Below are 19,413 nucleotides of genomic sequence, written 5' to 3' on the forward strand. Positions count from 1 at the left end.
TGTCATTCCCACGTAACGGTGTTTTACCTTCTCTGGGAGTCGGGGTAGAATTCCATCATGACCATTAAGACAGTCACATTGATAGCTGTGTGTCCCTCTCCTAGAAACATTAACCTATGAGAAGCAGAAGTTTTATTCCTCAAAGCATCTCTGGAAAAGACTGAATGATGTTAAATTTCAAAGATGAGTGATGGGGATGAGGAAGCTTATGTTGTGTTCTTCAGACATTTTTGAAGTACAAAATGAGTAGTCTCTTCGGGTTGTGCCGGCCCCACCCTCTGTGTCTTCACTAGCAAATCAAGTTGCTTGCCTTCTAGAGCTCAGAATGATGTAAACCAGTTGTGACTGGATGTCACGAAACCTGCCTCACATCAGTCCTGCCTGCTTATGAGGCAATAAAAGGGGTACGGTGCCCCACTTTGAAACTGTCCCTTGACTGTGCCGATGGGGTTTGTCTGACTCTAACTCTGCTTCAGCCTGGATGTCTGTGATGGCTCAGACAACAGACTCATCCTTAAGAGAGCTCAGAGGTGGTGTGCTTAACGCCGAGTGCTGCCTAGCACTATGTGATGGGAGCCAAGGGATGATCAGACCCCTTTGTCTACTCTGCTCTGTGGAATCCTAAAACTCTACTTCCATTAGGTGAAAACCAGCCCAGGAAAGGGAGGCAGCCCTTGATTCTAGCTAGATCCTAGAGCACTCTCCAGCCTCACCCCATACCATGTTTTGTGAATTTCATCAGCCCTTTTAGGTCCCTGTACTCACTGGCTGTGCTCCCAATGAGGGCCTTACATGGCCGTTCTGTCCACGGTGTTTCCCTCCCCTCTTCACTAGTTAACCTCCCCATCTGGAACTCAATTCAAGCTTTACTTACTCAGGGACCCCCTTCCCTCCACTGCATCAAATTTCCCCTTTTGGGCAGGGAAATCACTGACGACTGCTTCACAACACTCAGGCAAGCTGCAATTTTACATGTGTGTGGTTGTCTGATTAACTTCTTGCCTTCCCACTGGACTACCAGCCCTCTGAGAGCAGGGGCTGTGTCTATTCACTGCTATCTATCTATCTCCCTAGCACTATTCACAGTGCCTGGCCCATGCAGACATGTCAATAAATTTGTTCAACAAATGAATGAATGCCCAATAAGCAATAACTTTTATTATTACTACAGAGTTCCAGGTGCAAAGCTGAAAAGGCATAAATGAAAGCACAGCAGATATTGATGTAGAAGAAAGCTTTTTAATGCAACAGCTTAAACACACAGTTCAACAAAATCAGTCAATTCAAATTAACTTCAACATATTACAAAGAACTATGAAGCCCGGAGAAGGCCACTGTTGGAACAAAAAACCAAGTCCCTGCCCAGAAAGCATGGACACTGACCAAGGAGGCCTCTTGCCCCCTCCCACCTCTAGGAGGAGCAGCCACAATCACTGGGCTCTTTAAACAGCTTAGGTGCCTCTCTGCAGAAGGCAGCAGCACAGAGTCAAGGACAACCATTCAAGGGTCAGGGCTCTGCCTTCCCACCAAAGGAGGGCCCGAACAGAAGGCACTGGGGCTCAGACATAGGAGACTGTGCAAGGACAGGACAGGGCAGGGACAGCAGCTGTACACCTGGAGAGACTGCAGCCCTGGAGAACCAGCTCAACAGGCTGCTTTGGATCAGGGCCTTAGGTTTATCCCCCTCCTTCCACCCCGGCCCAGGAGCTCAGGTTGTTCAGATGAACTGCAGTGAGTTGGGGTCTGGGGAAGCTACAAGGGCAGCACTCAGTCTGCAGCCCACTTGGGCAGGACAAAGCCAAATGCTTTGCTGATGAGGATCTGTTGGTGTGATCAGCTAGCTGGGCTGGGGGAATAGGGACAGAGCTTCAGCTTCACGCTTAGCTCTAGTGGGGACCTTTCTGGTGCAACAACCATGTCTGTGTTTGACTACACTGAGTTTAATTTGAACAAGCAAAGCCTCTTACAGGGTGGGAGGCCATCAAGGGATTGAGGAGGGGGCTTCAGAGCTCACTTGGGGCATGCTGGGTTTCAGGAGCGGGCACAGAGCAGGTGGCCCATGGCTTCTCTGGGTAAGGTCAGGCAGGGGTTCCAGTTGCCCTGTTGGGTTTTTAGTGTAGGTTCTGCTTCACTTCCTGCCGCAACTTCTGTGCAGGACCATTCCTAGGCTCAATCTGTAGGAGGTTGCTGATGTCTGCAAAGCTGGATTTATAGTCCTAATAGAAGAAAAGACAGGAGTGTGGGGGAAGGTTCCCGGACTGGGGTGGGGATAGCTGCTGAGGCAGCAAAGTGTTTTCAAACCCCAGCCCACAGGCCTGCTCTGAGTTATCCTGGGCCCAGGATGAGAAGGAAAAGCTGCAGATATTGTCTCAGCTTGGCTACACCCTGTAAATGGTGACACTGGCATAAATCTCTGTAGCTATGTTGGGACCTTTTGGCCAGGATTTTTTTTTACCTTGAGTGCTTTGTGGGCTTGAGCCCGTCTGTAGAATGCCTTCACGTTCTTTCCATCCAGCTTGAGGGCTTCTGTGCAGTCCTTCACTGCTTCTGTGTACTGCTTCAGGACCAAATAGCAGAGTGCTCTGAAGGGAAAGACCATTTCAGAGGTTTCAGTCACGTCTTATGGGCCACCCACATGCCACGCAGTAGTTTGAGAAGTGATCTCCAATTTGCTGAACACCTACTCTGTGCTGGTTACTTTATGTCTTCTTAAATCCTCACAACAATCCTAGCCCTTTTCATGGATGAAACATGCTGGCTCAGAAGGGTAAAGGAACTTGGGCCAGGTACCGCCAGTATTAAGGGGCAGACCCAGGATTCAAATAGGCGGGCGTTCGTTCATGGGACTCCAGATCCTGATCTCATCTAGTTCTATCATGCTGTACTGCGCTCTCCTATACTGAGCTCTTTCAAGCAAAGAAAAGGTTTCCTGAAACTTTTCCCTTGACAGATTAAAAAATTATCTACTTTAAGGGGGAAAAAAAAACCCAACAACTACTGAACTCTAATGATATAATGCTGACATGGGGTGAAATGTAAAGACGTTTGCAATTTACTTTTAAGTGCATCAAACACAATAATACAGACCAACAGATGGCTAAATAGTGATAAGGCAATGTAATAATACTAATTGTAGAATTTAGATGGTAGGTCTATGGGTGTTCAATGTACAAATCTTTCAACTTTCCTATATTTTGAACATTTTCATAATAAAATGTTGGAAAAAAGTTATGTGCATCCATACAATATATTCTGCATCTGTGGGTTCAAAAAAGTGCATGTGTGTATATATCTTCCTCATTCAGATCTAGTCCTTCTCTCCAAAGACAGTCACTAAAAACAAAACAGTCAGATGTCTGGGCGCTCATTACATAAGTTCATCTGTTCCACCTCACTGTTTTCAGTGGGTGCAGGGTATTCACTAAGTTGGATGTAGCATAATTTATTTTACCAATTTCCTATCAAGAGGTATTTTTCATTGTTTCCAGTTTGTAAATAAGTGATGCCATGATGAACATCCTTGTGCAAGGGACTGCTGTATCCAAAGATACATGCATTTTAAAACCTGACTGGCCAGGTGCAGTGGCTCATGCTTATAATCCCAGCACTTTGGGAGGCCAAGGTGGGAAGGTCACTTGAGCCCAGGAGTTTGAGACCAGCCTGGGCAACATAGGGAGACCCCATCTCTTAAACAAAACAAAACAAAAAAAGAAATAAAATCTGATTGTTACTGCCAAAATGCTTTCCAAAAAAGCTGAATAGTTATTGACAGAGCCTATTTTCCTACAACTGTACCAACTTTGGGTCTTAAATTTTCATGTATGCCAATATGGAATAAAACACTATCTCACTGCCTTAGCTGCTTAGTTGTGGGTAAAGCTGAACATCTTTAATAAGGGTTTTTAATCTTTTGAAATCAAACTTCTCTAACTTTTCCTTTAACGACTTCTGTAACATTTTTTTCCCTTCACATAAGAATACCTTCCCCACTGCAAGATAGTTAATCCATGTGTTCTTCTAGAACTTAATGGTTTCGCTTTTTACATTCCAAACTGTGATCCACTCAGAACTTACTTTAAAATAAGAAGCAAGGTAGGATTCAAGTTTAACTCTAACCTGGCCAACCCAACACCTCTTATTAAATAATCTCTCTTTGCCCCAGACTTTATTATACACCAGATTCTCTCATGTCGTTGTTCTCATTTTTTTCTGACTTATCATGAATTTAAAGAAGAAAATTCTACTAGTCCTTTGTGATTGCATGGAATTCATAAATTAACGGAGAGAAAAATCTTCTTGTAACAACTTAAAAGACAGGCACAAATTCTTTGGCAATCCTCCACTGAGAGGCGGAGGTGTATCTGCTCTCTCTCTTTGAATTCGGGCAGGCTCTGTGACTGCTCTGACCAACAGAGGACAGAGGAAGGGACACGATGTGACTTCCAAGGTTAGGTCATAATAGGCCTTGCAGCTTCCACCTTGGTCTCTGGAAACACTCGCTCTTGGAGCCTTGAACTGACAGGGAAGAAGCCAACTACTCTGAGGCCACCACGCTCTCAGGAAGCTCACAGCAGCACACATGAAAAGGCTGCTAAGAAAGTGGAAAGAGGTGCCAGCTTGCTCTAGCAGTTCCATCACCCAGCCATTTGAGTCAGGCAGCCCAGCTGCCAGACATTCGAGGAAGAAGGCTTTAGAGGATTCCAGCCCCAGCTACCATCTTGCTGACCCTGCATGAGAGACCCCAAATGAGAACTGCCCTTCCCTAATTCCTGACTCCACAAATTACAAGCAAAATAAAATGGTTGTTGTAAATCACCAAGTTTTAGAATAGTAGCCCGTTTTAAACTTTGAACACAGAAGAATTCCTTTTTTTTTTTGGAGACAGGGTCTCACTCTGTCACCCAGGCTGGAGTGCAGTGGCATGATAACAGCTCACTGCAACCTCCGCCTCCTGGGTTCAAGCGATTCTCCTACTTCAGCCTCCCGAGTAGCTGGGATTACAGGTGCATGCCACCATGCCCAGCTAACTTTTGTATTTTTTGGTAGAGATGGGGTTTCACCATGTTGGCCAGCCTGGTCTCAAACTCCTAACCTCAAGCAATCTGCCCACCTCAGCCTCCCAAAGTGCTGGGATTACAGGCATGAGCCACCTCTAAACATAGAGGAATTCTAAGGAAATTAAAGTTTCCTCCCAATGGGCTTGGCAATTTAAAGAAATAGCCAAGTGTCTGGGAAGCAGAGGAACCACCGTGTATCGTGACTTCAGAATAGAAATGTGATTAATAGGGTCATGTGAGACTTCTAAAGACTATATTTAAGATGAACAAAATGCATAACTTCAGGCAATAAAATAAACCCCCTTGACTTTTGGTAAATGAAGTAACTGTATCCAGTCAGAAGGGTTTTAATTACAAAGGGGTTGGGAAATAACACAAGTGAGTGAAAGGGAAATAAGCTTTGGAGTCACAAAGATCTGGCTTAAATCTCAGCCACCATGTACTAGTTGTTTAACTTTGTGGTCACTAATTCATCTTTCTGAGCCTGATTAGGTAACACAGGACAATGATCTAAGCTGAAGAACTGTTGTGAGTACAAGTGAGATTCTTATGACAGCTGTTTCAGGGCTGGCAAGTTGTAGGTGCTATGCACTCAGATGTCACCTGCACAAAGGGAGCCAAAGTAAGCCAAAGCCTGGGCATTGTGTCATTCAGATGGGCGTACATGAGGTGGAGCATTAGACTATGTCCAAGACGTTCCAGGACATGATAAAATGTTAGCCACAATGGCTGAAAGTTGTTTTGTCATTAGTCCTCTAGATTAAATTATAAATCCAATGCAATCACAACCAAAAGCTGTCCAACAAGACATTTTTTGGAATTTGCCAAAATGATCCGAAGCTTTAGCTAGAAGAACAAACATGGGAAAATACTAGGAATGCTCTGATTAAGAAGAATGAAGAAAAGACCAGCCCTATAAGATATTATAAAGCAAAAGCAATTAAAACAGTGTGGCACAGACACCTGCATGAAGAACAGTATCTAAACAAGACAAAACACAGCTCCAAATATGGTAATGATCCAGAAAAATGAGTTAATGGAGGTGTCCAGCAGCATAAGGTAAGCAATGTGAAAGAGGGTCCAGAGATAGAGGAGTTAGAAGATGCCACACAAATATGGAACAAATAGGCTGCAGGCTTCTTTTTCAAATTAGCCTGGCAAATTGTGGCCCCTCTGGTCCAATCAGCAATAAAACCACATAAAACCACAGGTGCAAAATTCCAAAATATAAGCTTTAAAACTACAAGTTCTCTTTCCAACTCATTGGGCAGCAAAACCTGATCTGAACTGACATGAAGCTATTTAGTTTCTCTATTCCACCCCATGTGAACATGGAATTTTCAAGTTTCACTGGCAGAAATACTAATAATTAACTTCTGCAAGCTGCCCCAGACACTGCTGGGGTGTTACATAATTCAGACCATATTACCTCACTAAAATGGAAAACACTTCTTTTTTTTTTGTGACAGAGTCTCGCTCTGTCACCCAGGCTGGAGTGCAGTGGCACAATCTTGGCTCACTGTAACCTCTGCCTCCTGGGTTCAAGTGATTCTCCTGCCTCAGCCTCCTGAGTAGCTGAGATCACAGGCATGTGCCACAGCGCCCAGCTGATTTTTTGTATTTTTAGTAGAGATGGGGTTTTGCCGTGTTGGCCAGGCTGGTCTCAAACTCCTGACCTCAAGTGATCCTCCCGGAGCCTCAGCCTCCCAAAGTGTTGGGATTACAGGCATTGAGCCACCGTGGCTGGAAAACACATTTTATCTCAAGAGTTTGGAATAAGGAACAATGTGTCTATATTAGATCCAAGATTTTTGAACTAGAGAGTGATATGTGTATGCTGGTAGGGAAGGATAAACAGATTTCTAACATTTTATAATGTTTTATACTAAGCATTTGGTTTTGATATGGTCTCTTGCTGAATGTTTCAAGCTTCTGAGAGTAAAAGTAACAGGAAGATCTTGTTGAAGTCAGATTCCAATTCTTGTGCCAACATTTACTGGCTGGCTGAGTTTAAAGCAAAACCCTTCCTTCTCTGAGCCTCAATTTTCTAAACACTAAAACAGAAAGACCACCTATACGAGCATTGTTGGAGAACAATCACTCCTACACAGTGAAGGGACCGCACCCTGGCTCCCAGGTTCTCAGTCAGTGGTCACTGACGGCAGCTCCTGGTGCAGGACTTTCTACAGGCCCACAAGTCTAACCTTTCAGGCTAGACTGTACCCATCCTTCCTGCTCTCATGCCAGGCAATGGTTACTTCACATTTTGGCTTCTGGGCCAGTACTCTCAGACAGAAATGGTGCCAGAATTTCTAACAGGAGGGTCTTGGAGAAGGGTAGGGAGCAGCGTAGCGTGGTGGGGTGGACAGGCTAAGAGACTTGTGTTAGGGTTGTGTTTGCAGAGCAGGCACACTGCTTTTAGTTACATTGCATGCTTATGAAAATTCTGGGGACAGGGGCCAACAAAGCCCAGGCTACCATTTGGCATCCCTCAGTTTCTACCCTTTTGAGAGAATGAATGCCACTGGTCATGGCTAGCTCACAACGTGGATGCATGTTTTCAGCCATAACATACTTGACTAAATGCTAGGGATGAAGGGCCCATTGCAGTCCAAGAGAAGACTATGGAACAAATGTCCTGAAATGCCCCAGGCCAGCAGCTGTATAGGAGATACCTGTTGCTGTACGTGGCAGATTCCAGGTTACTACACAAGAGGCTTTCACTGTACTTCTCAATAGCTTTCTTATGGTTTCCCTTCTTTACAAGCTCATTGCCTTCTTCCTTCAGAACTCTGGCTTTCTCCACATCCCCAGCAGAAGGCACTAGATACAAATTCAGAAGAGGAAAAAAACCATGGAGCAGCACCCAACTGAGATCAGTGAGGTCTCTTCAGCATCGTCCCTTCCAAACTGACTACAATCCTCTCTCCCAGAGATTTCCTCCCCTGCTGTAAATCATCCTTCCTGATTAATGACTTCCCCCAATTAATAGCTTCTGGGCAATTCAACAGTTTTTCATCAAGAAGTTGGGGAATCCTGATATAAAAACATTTTTGCATGCACATAAAAATATATAAATGATAAAAAGCAACCCAGGTTCTAGCCTTGGCACTGCCTCTTGGTAGCTGGAAGATCTTGTGTGACCTACCTAACTTTTGGACCTCAATTTCCTCACCAATAAAATAGGGCAATACTAATTCCACAGATGGCTATTTTCAGGGTCAAATCTGAGAGTATGTAAGAAAGTACGGAACACACTATAAACTTAAAGCAGGACAATAAGTAAATAAATACTAATAAACAAATATCTGGTAAAGAAAAGGTATAGCTTCTGGGCTATGAGAAAAGGGGAGAAGAGCCTGCTATTCCTCATTTCTGGTTTGGGCTGAGCCTGTGAGTATCCTCCCTCATCTAACACATGCAGCTCTGCTCCAGCCTTCAAGGAGAGGAAGCAGAGGGAACATGGTGAAATCCAAGCTGCTCAACTTGGTGTTCAGGCCCTTCACTGCTTGGCCCCAATTAATTATTCCAGCCTCAGCTCCATATCATCTGCTTTTCAAAAATTTTTAAAACTATCTTTATAAAATACTAAATATTTATGACCAGGGTAAGATTATAGGTTTACACCCTGAATTCATTGCCTGGTTTAAGAAAAAGAACATAACTAGGACCTTTGAAGTCCTGGGGGACCTTCCTCAATTCAATCCACTGCTGGAGGAAACTATTATCCCCAATTCTGTGCTTCTTCCCCACCTTTTTAAACAGTATAACTATATACAACAGTACCCACAGATCATTTGCTGTTTACTTTGTTTTTGAACTTCATACAGAAGAATAAGTCTGTGTATTCTTTTATGACTTGGTTTTTCTTTTTCCCCTTAATGTTATATTTCTGAGATTCATCTGTGTTGATGCACAGACCTGCAGCTCCTTCATTTTCATTGCTGCAATACCAAAGCTGAATTGTCCATTCTCCCATTTATGGAGATCTGGGTTATCTCCAGTTGTTTTTTGCTATTACAGTCTTCTACGAACATTTGTGGGTACATCTCCCTGTGCACATGCACACAGGTTTCTCTTGAAGTAGGGCTTCAGCTTCACTGGCACCCTGCAACACACCACTCTGCAGTCATCCTTATTCCTACTGTTCCCCCCATGCACTTTCATTCTCCAACTCTCTCCACTGTCTCTGCCAAGGATTCTCCTTCCTTCCCACCTGATGACCTTCTTCAAGGTCCAGCTCAAGGCTCCACCTCCATTGCCACCCCTTCTGAGTCTTTCCCCGACTCCCTCATGCACTTAAGTCAGTTTCTATCCTGAAGTCCTCAAACACTAAGACTCTAAAGCACATGTTCCTCCTCCTTGTGTTTTAAGACACTGTTTACATGTCTCAGTCCCTCAACTGAGGGAGAGTTCCCTGAGGGCCAAGACTGTCCTCTGTGTCACACTGCTTAGCATACACATGGCTTGGAACACATGGCTCAGTGACCCTGAAAGAATGAAATCAATGGTAGGTGCACTGATTTAAAGAATGAAATCAATGGTAGGTGCACTGATTGAAAGAATGAAATCAATGGCACTGATGCCATCAGGTTCATTAGCACCGCACATTTTCATCCTAGAGAAGAGTGGGGAACACTTACCAGGCTCCCACAAACCAGAGTGAATGCTACCCATGACCAGAGAGGCATTCTCCTGTAGAAGGTGAGTAACTCTTGTCCTCCCCTAACACCTATAGGTCACTTACACATGGCAGGGCTCCATCTCTGATCCCTTCTGCACCTCTAGCCTGAATCCCTAGCTTGCTGGGCTGGGACCATTCCCCTGGAGCATTAAAAGAGCTTCCTAGTGCCTGACAAATGGCCTCTTCATTTCATACAGTTGAGGTGAGGAATCTCCTGTTTTTGGCTGCTTGGATCTCCTTTCTCTTCTTCATGCTTCTCCAGGGATTCACACAGTGTACATGCTCCTGGGAAGCATCACCCTCTAGTTCTGGAGGTGGGGCAGGTGCCTCAGGGTGACCTAATCACAAAATCTCATCCGCCGGTTATGGTGTGTACTTCAGGGAATGGCCTGTGACCATGAAGACCAGAATAGATTGAGAAAATGATTGAGAAAATATGTGAGCTAGAGTTTTTTGGGGGAAAAAAATCCTATCTTTTCCTAGTGAGCTATCAGAGAAAGACTTTCTTTCTCTGGGTCATGAGGCATGGGGTATGGATGTGAGGCCGGGAACTGCTATAGCTATTTTGCTACTAGGAGGGAAGCTTGCCAAAGACAAAGCTGACGCACAACAGAAAATAAAGCTGTGATAAGTACAGAAAAATGGAGTTAGTCTGTTAATATACTGAGCTGCTGGAGCAAACCTTGCCTGAATTCTCTCGGATTTTTCAGTTTTATGAGCCAATAAATTCCCTATACTATGTTTACCATGTTGAGCTTTCTGTTTTTGCAACCAAAAACATCCTAAGTACTACATCCCAAGTGCTACCAGAGGAAAGAGAAGGGAACTCACACTGCATGCCTATGTGCCAGGCTGGGAGTTTTACATGTCTTATGTCATTCAGTCCTCATGGTTGTGAGGAAGACTTTATCATCACCCTCACTATACAGCTGAGAAAACAGTCTCTAAGAGGTGAAGACTTGTATTTTGTTTTATACTTTGTTCCTAAGATTATTTTTATAACTCAGCTAAACAATGCCAATTTTTGCAGGACTACTCTAAAGAAAATGGATAGTGGGAGATTGCAAGACTCTGGGCAGGGAGTCACAGCTCACCTCTGTTCTTTGTAGCTGTGGTTTCTTTGGATTTGCTTTTAGCCATCTCTTTGTGGTTCTCCGAAGGCAAGGAATTCCACCTCTTCTGAGCTGAAACAGGCACCAAGGGGATTGAGGGCAGCTTCAGGCGCCACTCAGGCCCAAGCGAGTCCATGAGAGCTCTGGTCATTCTGGAAAAGAAGGCAGGATTGCAGGGAGGTTTCCAGCTGGGTCAAGAAGATATTTCTCCTTTCACACACCCATGGGAGGTAGGCCTTTTCAGAAGAGCCAGAGCTGCCACCCTCCCCCTGGTCGGAACCACCTCTTTAGCTCCTCCAACACGTGCAATACAGGAACCCATAAACACCATCTCAGATCAGTCCCCATGACATTCCTTGAGCTTGGTCAAACTATGTTACCTTTAAAGTGGTGATCTGTTGCTTGTTAAGGATACTTAAACCATGATCCAAAAAGACTATAGTTTCTCCAAGAAAGAATCATACATTTTGTTTCATATTTTATCAATGAATCAAGTACACAACCATGCAAGCACCTGACATTTGTTTAATGCTCAGGCTTTTTAAAAAATGCAAAGCTTATGTCATTCTCAAATCTTACAACTCCTCAGGGGTTCCCAATTCCCTAGGCTAATGTGGCATGTGAGATCTGGTCCCCACCCCTTCCTGTCCCCCTTCACTGTGAGCCACATTCTCTTCTGATCCTTCTGTTCAAGACTTTGCACATGCTTTTTCCTCTACCCAGAACAACCATTTTCATTTTGGAAAAAGATTGCCACCTTCCAGGCCCGGCTAACTCCAACTTATTCTTTAGATTTCAGCTTAAAATGCCACCCAGAGACCAAGTTCATTCTGTCAACTGATCTCCAGCACCTGGTATGTCACCTAGCAACCACCAAGGCCCAATCAGTTATGTGTTGAATGAGTGAATAATGCTAACTGTATACTTTTTCTGCTCCTACAACCATGTTTCCTATATTACAAGAATAAAAACCACAGACTGTATCACTACAAATTCCAAGATGTCTCTGGCTAGGCTGTTTTCCTGGCGGCCAAGCTATTTCAAACCTCTGCTCTCCTCAAACCTGTTCCCTGGCCCTTCCCCTTTTTTAGAGCAAACTTCCTCATACCCCAAATACAAACCTACCTGCCTGGGTGCCCAATCCTTCCTATTTCTCTCCTGTCACAACAGAAGAGACAATGGGACCAATCCACCCACCTAAGCTCTGGATCCCATCTCCTCTTGCCTCTTTCAGGGACCACACCCAGGCAGCACCTCCCTCTCCCACATCTTCATCCTTCCTCTCTACTAACTCCAACCGTCAGCATTTAAGTCCCTTTAACTCTTTCCTCACCTAATAAAACCATACTGGACACCCCTTGCCATCACAGGTATACTCCCCAGCTTCTCTTCAAGCCTGACTTTCTGAAAGCATTGCCCTCTGGCTCCTGATCCCACTGACCAGCTTCCATCAGAGCCACCGGTGACTTCATTGCCAAACCTTTAATGTAAGCTCCTTGGAACACCTGACACTAATGATGTCTCCATCTTTCTTGAAATACTCCTTCCCTTGGGACATCAATGCCCTGTTTCCTCCCACCTCTCTAGCTGCTGTTCCTCTGTAAGTCCCTCAAATGCTGGAGTTTCTCAAAGCTCCATCCTCTTCACACTAGCTGTGATGTTCTTTTTCTTTCTCACAGCCCTAATCCACCTCTGCGCTGATGACCCTCAAATCCTTATGTCTGGCCTGTATTTTCTTCCTTTGTTCCATGTAAATACCCAACCGTCCTACTTAGATCTCTAGTCTTATGTCCCACAGTCACCTCCGACTGAATGTCAATAATCTGAGTGTCTTCTTCTATTCCTCCCTTCTCGATACCCCGCAACCACTAAAGCTTGTTGATATACTTCCTACATGTCCCCTGACTGGTCCCATTGTTTTCTCTCCACCCTCTCCCCTGGATTGCTGCATGACTCCTTTCTATTCTGTTGCCCTTCATATCATCCCTCAACATGGCAGCAAAGAGCTTTTCTCTAAAATACAAATCTGCTCATGTTGCTCCACTGCTAAAGACCTTTTCATAAAGGCTGACTTGCTCAGGATTAAGTCCAAGCCCTGAACCCTGGGTCTTGTGTGACTTGGCCTCACCAACCTGTCCCAAGCTGAGCTCCTGCCTGCAGCACCATGTGAAACCGACTTCTTACAATTCCTGTGATCTGTCACACTTGCTCACCTTTGCACACGCTGCTCTGTCTTCTGGCTAACCCCCTACCCCATATCTCTCATTCTTAGCTCACCTCCTCTGAAAAGCTCTCTCTGGCCTCCCCCTCTCCCTCTCAGCTAGCTAGGTGGCTCCTTTCTGGCCTCAGAGCCCCCTGTGCTGCCTCCTACCATGGCGCTTATCATGTTGTATTGTGCTTGCCTATTACTGACTGGTGTCTTCCTTGAGACCGGGACCTCTATGACGGCAGGAAGAGGTATGTCTCAGTCATCAGCCCAGGTCCTAGAGCAAAGTCTGTCACATAATTGGTAGATTTTGTGGAATCAGATAAGTTAAAAAGGAGGCAAAGAGAAAACAAAGAATGCTGGCAGACAAGTCAAGCCAGAAATAAAGCACTAAATACATACCATGAAGTCCCTGTTAAGGGTTTGCTATTAGTGCAGTGTTTGGCTTTCTAGCCGCACACGCAGAGGGGAAACATGATCAGTTATACAAATGACAATATCCATGAGATAAAAGCCAATAACTGCTCAGAGACCAGAAAGGAATTGCACCTGGGGAACCTCTTGGATTGGTCACAGTGCAATATACTGAACCATGTCCACAAACCATATCCTTTTAGGCTTGTCATAGCTGCTTGGGCTTGTGTCTTATTCTTCTAATTAGCGTTAGCGCTTTGAAGGTAAGTGGGGTCTGTATCTCTTTCTCATTTTGGTATCCCCCACTGAACCGGGCACAACACCTTAAACAGTGTACAATAAATATTACTGTGTACATAGATACTGTGAGGCACATGTAGGCAAATATCAATCAATCAATCTTAGTAATTGACTCCCTGAAAACCTGCTAAATAAAAAAGCAGATTTTCCTTTCTCAGCTTCCCCTACATGCCCATCGGGAGTTTTTTAAGTGTAGCCAAAGGGATCCCCTCAGAAGACAGACAAGGCAATGGCCCGCAGCCAATCAAGAAGGACAGGGAGTTGCCGTGGAGACCACCTGCTGGGAATGGAGCTCACCTGTTGATGCCTTCTACGGCTGACGTCACATTATCATCAATCTGCAGCACAGTCTTATAGTCAACATAGGCCATAGGGTACTTCTCCAGAGCCTCATAAGCAGATGCTCGCCGCAGCAGGGGCTTAATGCTGAAGGGAACCAAGGCCAGTGCTCTAGAATAGGAGGCAAAAATGTCAACTGGCTGGCTGCTGAGCCACCAGGGTTTCCCTACAGTTTCTTCCAGGCAGGGTTATCTGGAGCACTCAGCGTACAGGAAGTAATTTCTGGCCGAGAGACATGGCTAAAAACGCCAAACCTCAGAACAGGGATTTTTCAACGTAGACTGAAGTGAGGAGGAGAAAGAAGGCAGAGAAACATGAATTTTGTTAAATGTGTGTGCACATGCATCAATTTTCATAGTTTCAGTTCCCCCAAAATCAAGAACAAAAGCCTCATGGCTTTCATGCTACTATGTTTTTTTACAGTTGTGGTCTAGTGGGAATAACAAACAAGCTTTGGAGTCAGATGGGGTGGTGTCTGAATTCCACCTCTGCTGCTAACTATGTGACCCAGGTAAATCACTTTACTGCCCCAACCCTCAGCAACCAAGTTCTGGCCTGGGACACATGGTAACCGTACCCCACAGATTGGTTGTGAACACTCAAAGAGGGAAATCTGGCACAAGGCATGGCACAAATTAATTCAGCACAGGCTCTGTGAGTATGCTCACACCCCTCCTGCTCTCCTGGCTATCACCAGGGCAGGAATCTAAAGCAATGTCAGAGGACATCAGATCTGAGAACACATTTCAGGTAAATGTGAGAGTTTAATGATGATAAAAGAATATTAGACTGGCTTGAAGAAAAAGAGATATGAAACATTGTTCAGTGTCCTCTAAAACTGGTCATTCATGAATACCATTTTTTTCCTTTCTCCTTCTGAGACAATCTATTAACCTCTATTCCTCCTTCTTTCCTTCGCTCCCTTCCCCTCACATACTCCCATCCCAGAAAAGCACCTGGGCAAGCCAGTTACTGGTCTGCCACTCCACCTTATTCCCAGGTTTCAAATTGCACAAAGACTTTACGGCCTGCTTCTAACTGCCCATCCCACTCCTTTTTCGGCAGCAGAGCCAAGACTCCAAAGATGCAAGTCACGGGCCATAAGGACCAAATAAAGACTCCCATTCTCAGTGACCTGGTGAAACTCAGTGACACTTTCTTAATATCTGTCCCAGATGTAATTGATGGGATCCTTCCAAAGAAGAAACAAGCCAGATTAACCCAGCCTCCTCTTCTGAGACCCTCAGGCATCCCAAAATTACCCTTGGCCACTTACGAAGTGCAATCTTTGATGCAGTCTCTGCAGTTTCCATCCTTCAAGTGACATGCTGCTCGGTTGGAGTAGAGAACACTTTCTTCTTCTGGGTCTGAAGAACCTGCCCAGATAGAGTGGGGAAGATGATCAGTTTGGAAAATGGGTGCCTCAGGGCATTAGGATACATTTCAAACTCAGAGCTCTTTGGGCCTTGTGTTAAGGCAGTAGAGATAACTATAACCTGTTCAGGCTTGTTGGTCTGCTGGGCTGGCGTGTTTGTCATTCTTATGTGACAGAAGGACACTGCGCTTTTTGCCATTCAAAGGGAACCAAGTATTTCCTCATTCACTCATTCCAGCACTGAACTTGATAACAGACAAAAGATAAACAAGAAATAGCTAGCTTCTGCCTCAAAGAAATCCATGCTGTAACTACTTGGGTTTGGGTGGATAAATGGATGGATAGGTGTGTATTTTATTACAAAAAGCATTTAAATCCAAGAAAGAAAGAAAAAAAAAAAAAGAAAAGAAAGGGAGGGAGGGAGGGAACAAGATGATAAACGTATGATAAATGGATTGACCAAAAGTTGTAGGGGCACAAAACACCCATGAAAGACATGAGACTAGTTTTACCTGGTCAAGCCAGGGAGGACTTTGTCAGGGAAATGATAATTGAGCTGGGTGTGATGGGAGTACAGAGAACTTAATCAGGAAAAAGTCTTAAGCTACCCCATGGGGAGAATTATTAGACATTCTTCTAAGGCAGTCCTTACCCTCAGGAATCGCAGAGGCTCAAGTCCTTCACTGTGGCCACCATGATCTTTATTTACGTATTTTTTTTTGAGACAGAGTCCTGCTCTGTTGCCCAGCCTGGAGTGCAGTGGAGCGATCTCCGCTCACTGCAACTCCACCTCCTGGGTTCAAGCAATTCTCCTGCCTCAGCCTCAGCCTCCTGAGTAGCTGGGATTACAGGCACTCGCCACCACGCCTGGTAGAGACAGGGTTTCACTATGTTGGCCAAGCTGGTCTTGAACTCCTGACCTCAGGCAATCCGCCTGCCTCGGCCTCCCAAAGTACTGGGATTACAGACGTGAGCCACCGTGCCCAACCAACAATGATCTTTATTTTTAAAGATAATTTTCAACCACTTCATACCCACTAGTGTCGGCCATTATTTTAAAAAGAATTGAAAACAGGGTCTCTTTTTGAAAATTTTGAAACATACAGAAGACCATTATCTCAGAATCCACCACTAGATTTAGCACGTTATATTAGTTCCCAACTTTTTTAATTTTTAGAGACAGCGTCTCCCTCTGTTGCCCAGGCTGAAGTGTAGTAGCACAATCATAGCTCACTGCAGCCTCAAACTCTTGGGCTCAAGTGATCTTCCCAGCTCAGCCTACCAAGCAGATAGGACTACAGGTGTGTACCCCCAAGCCCAGTTAATTTTTAAAGTTTTTGTAGAGACAGAGTCCCACTGTGTTGCCCAGGTTGGTCTTGAATGCCTAGCCTCAAGTGATCCTCCCGCTTTGGCCTCCCAAAGTGTTGGGATTATAGGCATGAGCTATGGCACCCAACCCTTAAAAATTTTTTTGATAAGCTAAAACTCCAGCCATCCCCATCCTTATCCCTGTGCTCCCTCCCCAGACTCACAGAGGCCAGTACAATCCTGAAGTTGGTATGTAACATTTTCAAGCATGTTCTACATTTACATATATATGTATATATGTATATGTATATATGTATACATGTACATGTATATATATGTATATGTATATATATGTGTGTGTGTGTGTGTGTGTTAACAGGAAAGATACCATTTTATGTCTATTAAAGCATTTCCTAAGAGGCATCATATTGCCTATCCTTCTGCAACTTACTTTTTTCACTCAGTATCCTGTTGCCATGTTGATATTTGATATCTTTCATTCAATACCAACAATAACAAGCGTTTTCCCCTCTTGTTTTGCCAGGCCCAGAGACGGAAAGTACAAAGACTAGTAAAATACATCCTTGCCCTTAAGGAGCTAAGTACCCAAAACCTGTAATCCATCTTGAGTCACCAGAGTACGGTTGCTCAGAAACAGCAGTGGTGCGGTGGAAAGGGCATCAACCCTGCGATCCGGACAAGTCACTCCATCCCTCTGATCATGCGTGCCCACCTACCACATGAGGATATCACTTCATAGACTTGCTGGAAGGGTTCATTGTGTTAGCCTGTTCCCTGAGCTCTCTTCGTGATCAAGAAGACTGATCAGATAAATCAAGAGACTTGCCCAAAATTACCTAGGAAATCTGTAGCAGCAGCAGAACCAAACTCCGGTCCTTGCTAAATCTAGATACCAGGCTAGCTTTTCTATGGACCCAGAATTAACCCATACAAATGTACAAGCTTTTCCAGACCAGCTGGGGTGAGATGAATGAAAATGGCAGCAACATCAATACCTCAGCTTCTTCAGCAACTTCATCAAGTAAGGCTGCCATGAGGAAGTGGGCCTAAAGGAGAGTTTTCTAGAACAAAGAAGGGGGCAAAGGAGTGGCTTGAAACTGCAAAAAGTGCAGACAAAAAAAAAAAAAAAAAGAATGAAATCTGGAGAGGATGTGAGGAGAGGTCTAGCAAAATGATTAAAAATTTGGACTTAGCATCAAAGTCAAACAGATCCATATTCAAATCGTGGCTCTTCCATGTCTTCACTATGTAACCCCGAGGGAGCCAATTTAACTCTCTTGGACTCCTCCTTTCTAAGCATTTTATCCACAGGGCCATAATAAAGATCAAAGGAGATCGTGTCTAAAATGTCTAGCACATGGTAAATCACTCAAGAGATGCTAGCCAAGAAAAGGAAAAAAAGGAAGGCGGCAAAGGGAAATAGGTACTGAACGGTGACTCACAGAAACCAGGATCCAAGGCTCCTTTCAAAAGTCAAGGCTTTAACCAATGAGGGTTTCTGATTAAGTCACCCTGGAGAAGGGGCTTTGGGCAAAGGTCTGCGGTATGCTGACGAAAGCTGGACGCTGGGAGAACTGGTAAGAATATGCTATTCTTCTGTTTCAAACTCTCCAGTAGCTTCCCATCCAGCAGCTTTCATGCCAAGCTTCCAGTTTGGCATGAAATCCGAACTCCTTAGCAGAGTTTACAACACCTCCACAATAAATAAGGGTCTGCCTTCCTAACTGACCTCATGTCTTCCTATTCCCTGCCCTGGCTCACTATGCTTTGACCCCTGAAACACACCATGTTTATATCGTCTTGGAGGGGGGGCCTTTCTCATTGCAGTTCACTTCAGGACCGAAAACCTTGTGCGCTTGGCTTCTCATCATTTAGACATCACCTCAAATATCACTTCTTTACAGATGTTGCCCTTGATCTCCCACTCCAGTCAACTCTATCACATCACCCTATTTGTCTTCTTCCTAACCCTGATTATCCCACAGGTCTCGTTTACTTACTGACTCGCTTAAGACTCACGTCCTCCCCACCGCCCCCACAAGAATGCGCTGTCCTTGAGAGAAGGGACTTTTTGTGTCTTGTTACACAGGCGGTATATAACAGCTACTCAACAAATACTAACTGAAAAATGAATTGCTGCGGGGGAGGAGGGTTTAGCTTTCTTCTCAGGGCTCAGAACGAGGCCTAAATAACTTAGGATGGGGGCCAACAGGGCAGTTAACAAGCAGGTGGAAAGAAAGGGCCGAGGAAGTTTCTGGTAGGATGCCGGAGTCGGAAGGGGCTGGAAGGGTGGGAGGGCCGGGCAGGACTGCTGGCCGCCGCGCGAGGCCCGGGCGGTGGTTGCGGGAGTTGGAGGAGCAGGCCCGGAGGTGAGATGGGGGCCGGGGTCGTACCTTGCGCCTGCAGCACCCGCAGCGCGCGGCCGTAGAGCGCGGAGGCCTCGGCGTACTGGCCGTTGCGGAAACTCTCATTGCCGGCGGCGCGGAGCTCCTCCACAGAGTCTGGGAATTTGGGGGCCATCCCGTGGCCAGGCCGGCGAGTTGGGAGCTCCTTCCTTCCTCCCCCGTGTGGTGCGGCACACCTTCCGGGCGCAAGCG

General features: G+C 45.1%; 1 protein-coding gene and 1 long non-coding RNA gene across 4 annotated transcripts, besides 3 other annotated features; one reads left to right on the top strand and one right to left on the bottom strand.

Moving 5' to 3' along the window:
* Positions 1 to 1,132: 1,132 nt before the first annotated feature.
* On the bottom strand, positions 1,133 to 19,400 carry TOMM34 (translocase of outer mitochondrial membrane 34). Of its 3 annotated transcripts, none has more exons than NM_006809.5 (7): positions 19,210 to 19,400; positions 15,389 to 15,488; positions 14,071 to 14,223; positions 10,836 to 11,005; positions 7,733 to 7,880; positions 2,456 to 2,582; positions 1,133 to 2,216 (listed from the first exon to the last, which is right to left on the bottom strand). In NM_006809.5, exons 1-7 carry the CDS (start codon positions 19,334 to 19,336, stop codon positions 2,112 to 2,114), a joined length of 930 nt encoding a protein of 309 aa, NP_006800.2. In that variant the 5' UTR covers positions 19,337 to 19,400; the 3' UTR covers positions 1,133 to 2,111. The 3 variants fall into 3 exon arrangements, with proteins under 3 accessions (NP_006800.2, XP_011526803.1, XP_016883089.1); XM_011528501.2 differs by lacking the exon at positions 19,210 to 19,400 and adding an exon at positions 17,247 to 17,310; XM_017027600.3 differs by lacking the exons at positions 1,133 to 2,216; positions 7,733 to 7,880 and having other exon boundaries at positions 2,455 to 2,582.
* On the top strand, positions 14,219 to 18,540 carry LOC124904912 (uncharacterized). The gene is made up of 2 exons (XR_007067599.1): positions 14,219 to 14,623; positions 17,340 to 18,540. It is a non-coding gene; the product is annotated as an uncharacterized LOC124904912 (long non-coding RNA).
* Positions 18,329 to 18,418: an enhancer, noted in NCBI's record as "active region_17941". NCBI's record gives its function as "activates an Ori minimal core promoter by ATAC-STARR-seq in GM12878 lymphoblastoid cells {active_cell/tissue: GM12878}" and the evidence as "EXISTENCE:reporter gene assay evidence [ECO:0000049][PMID:35858748]".
* Positions 19,199 to 19,248: an enhancer, noted in NCBI's record as "active region_17942". NCBI's record gives its function as "activates an Ori minimal core promoter by ATAC-STARR-seq in GM12878 lymphoblastoid cells {active_cell/tissue: GM12878}" and the evidence as "EXISTENCE:reporter gene assay evidence [ECO:0000049][PMID:35858748]".
* Positions 19,259 to 19,348: an enhancer, noted in NCBI's record as "active region_17943". NCBI's record gives its function as "activates an Ori minimal core promoter by ATAC-STARR-seq in GM12878 lymphoblastoid cells {active_cell/tissue: GM12878}" and the evidence as "EXISTENCE:reporter gene assay evidence [ECO:0000049][PMID:35858748]".

This window comes from Homo sapiens, chromosome 20, assembly GCF_000001405.40.
Source record: "Homo sapiens chromosome 20, GRCh38.p14 Primary Assembly".
Lineage (NCBI taxonomy): Eukaryota > Metazoa > Chordata > Mammalia > Primates > Hominidae > Homo > Homo sapiens.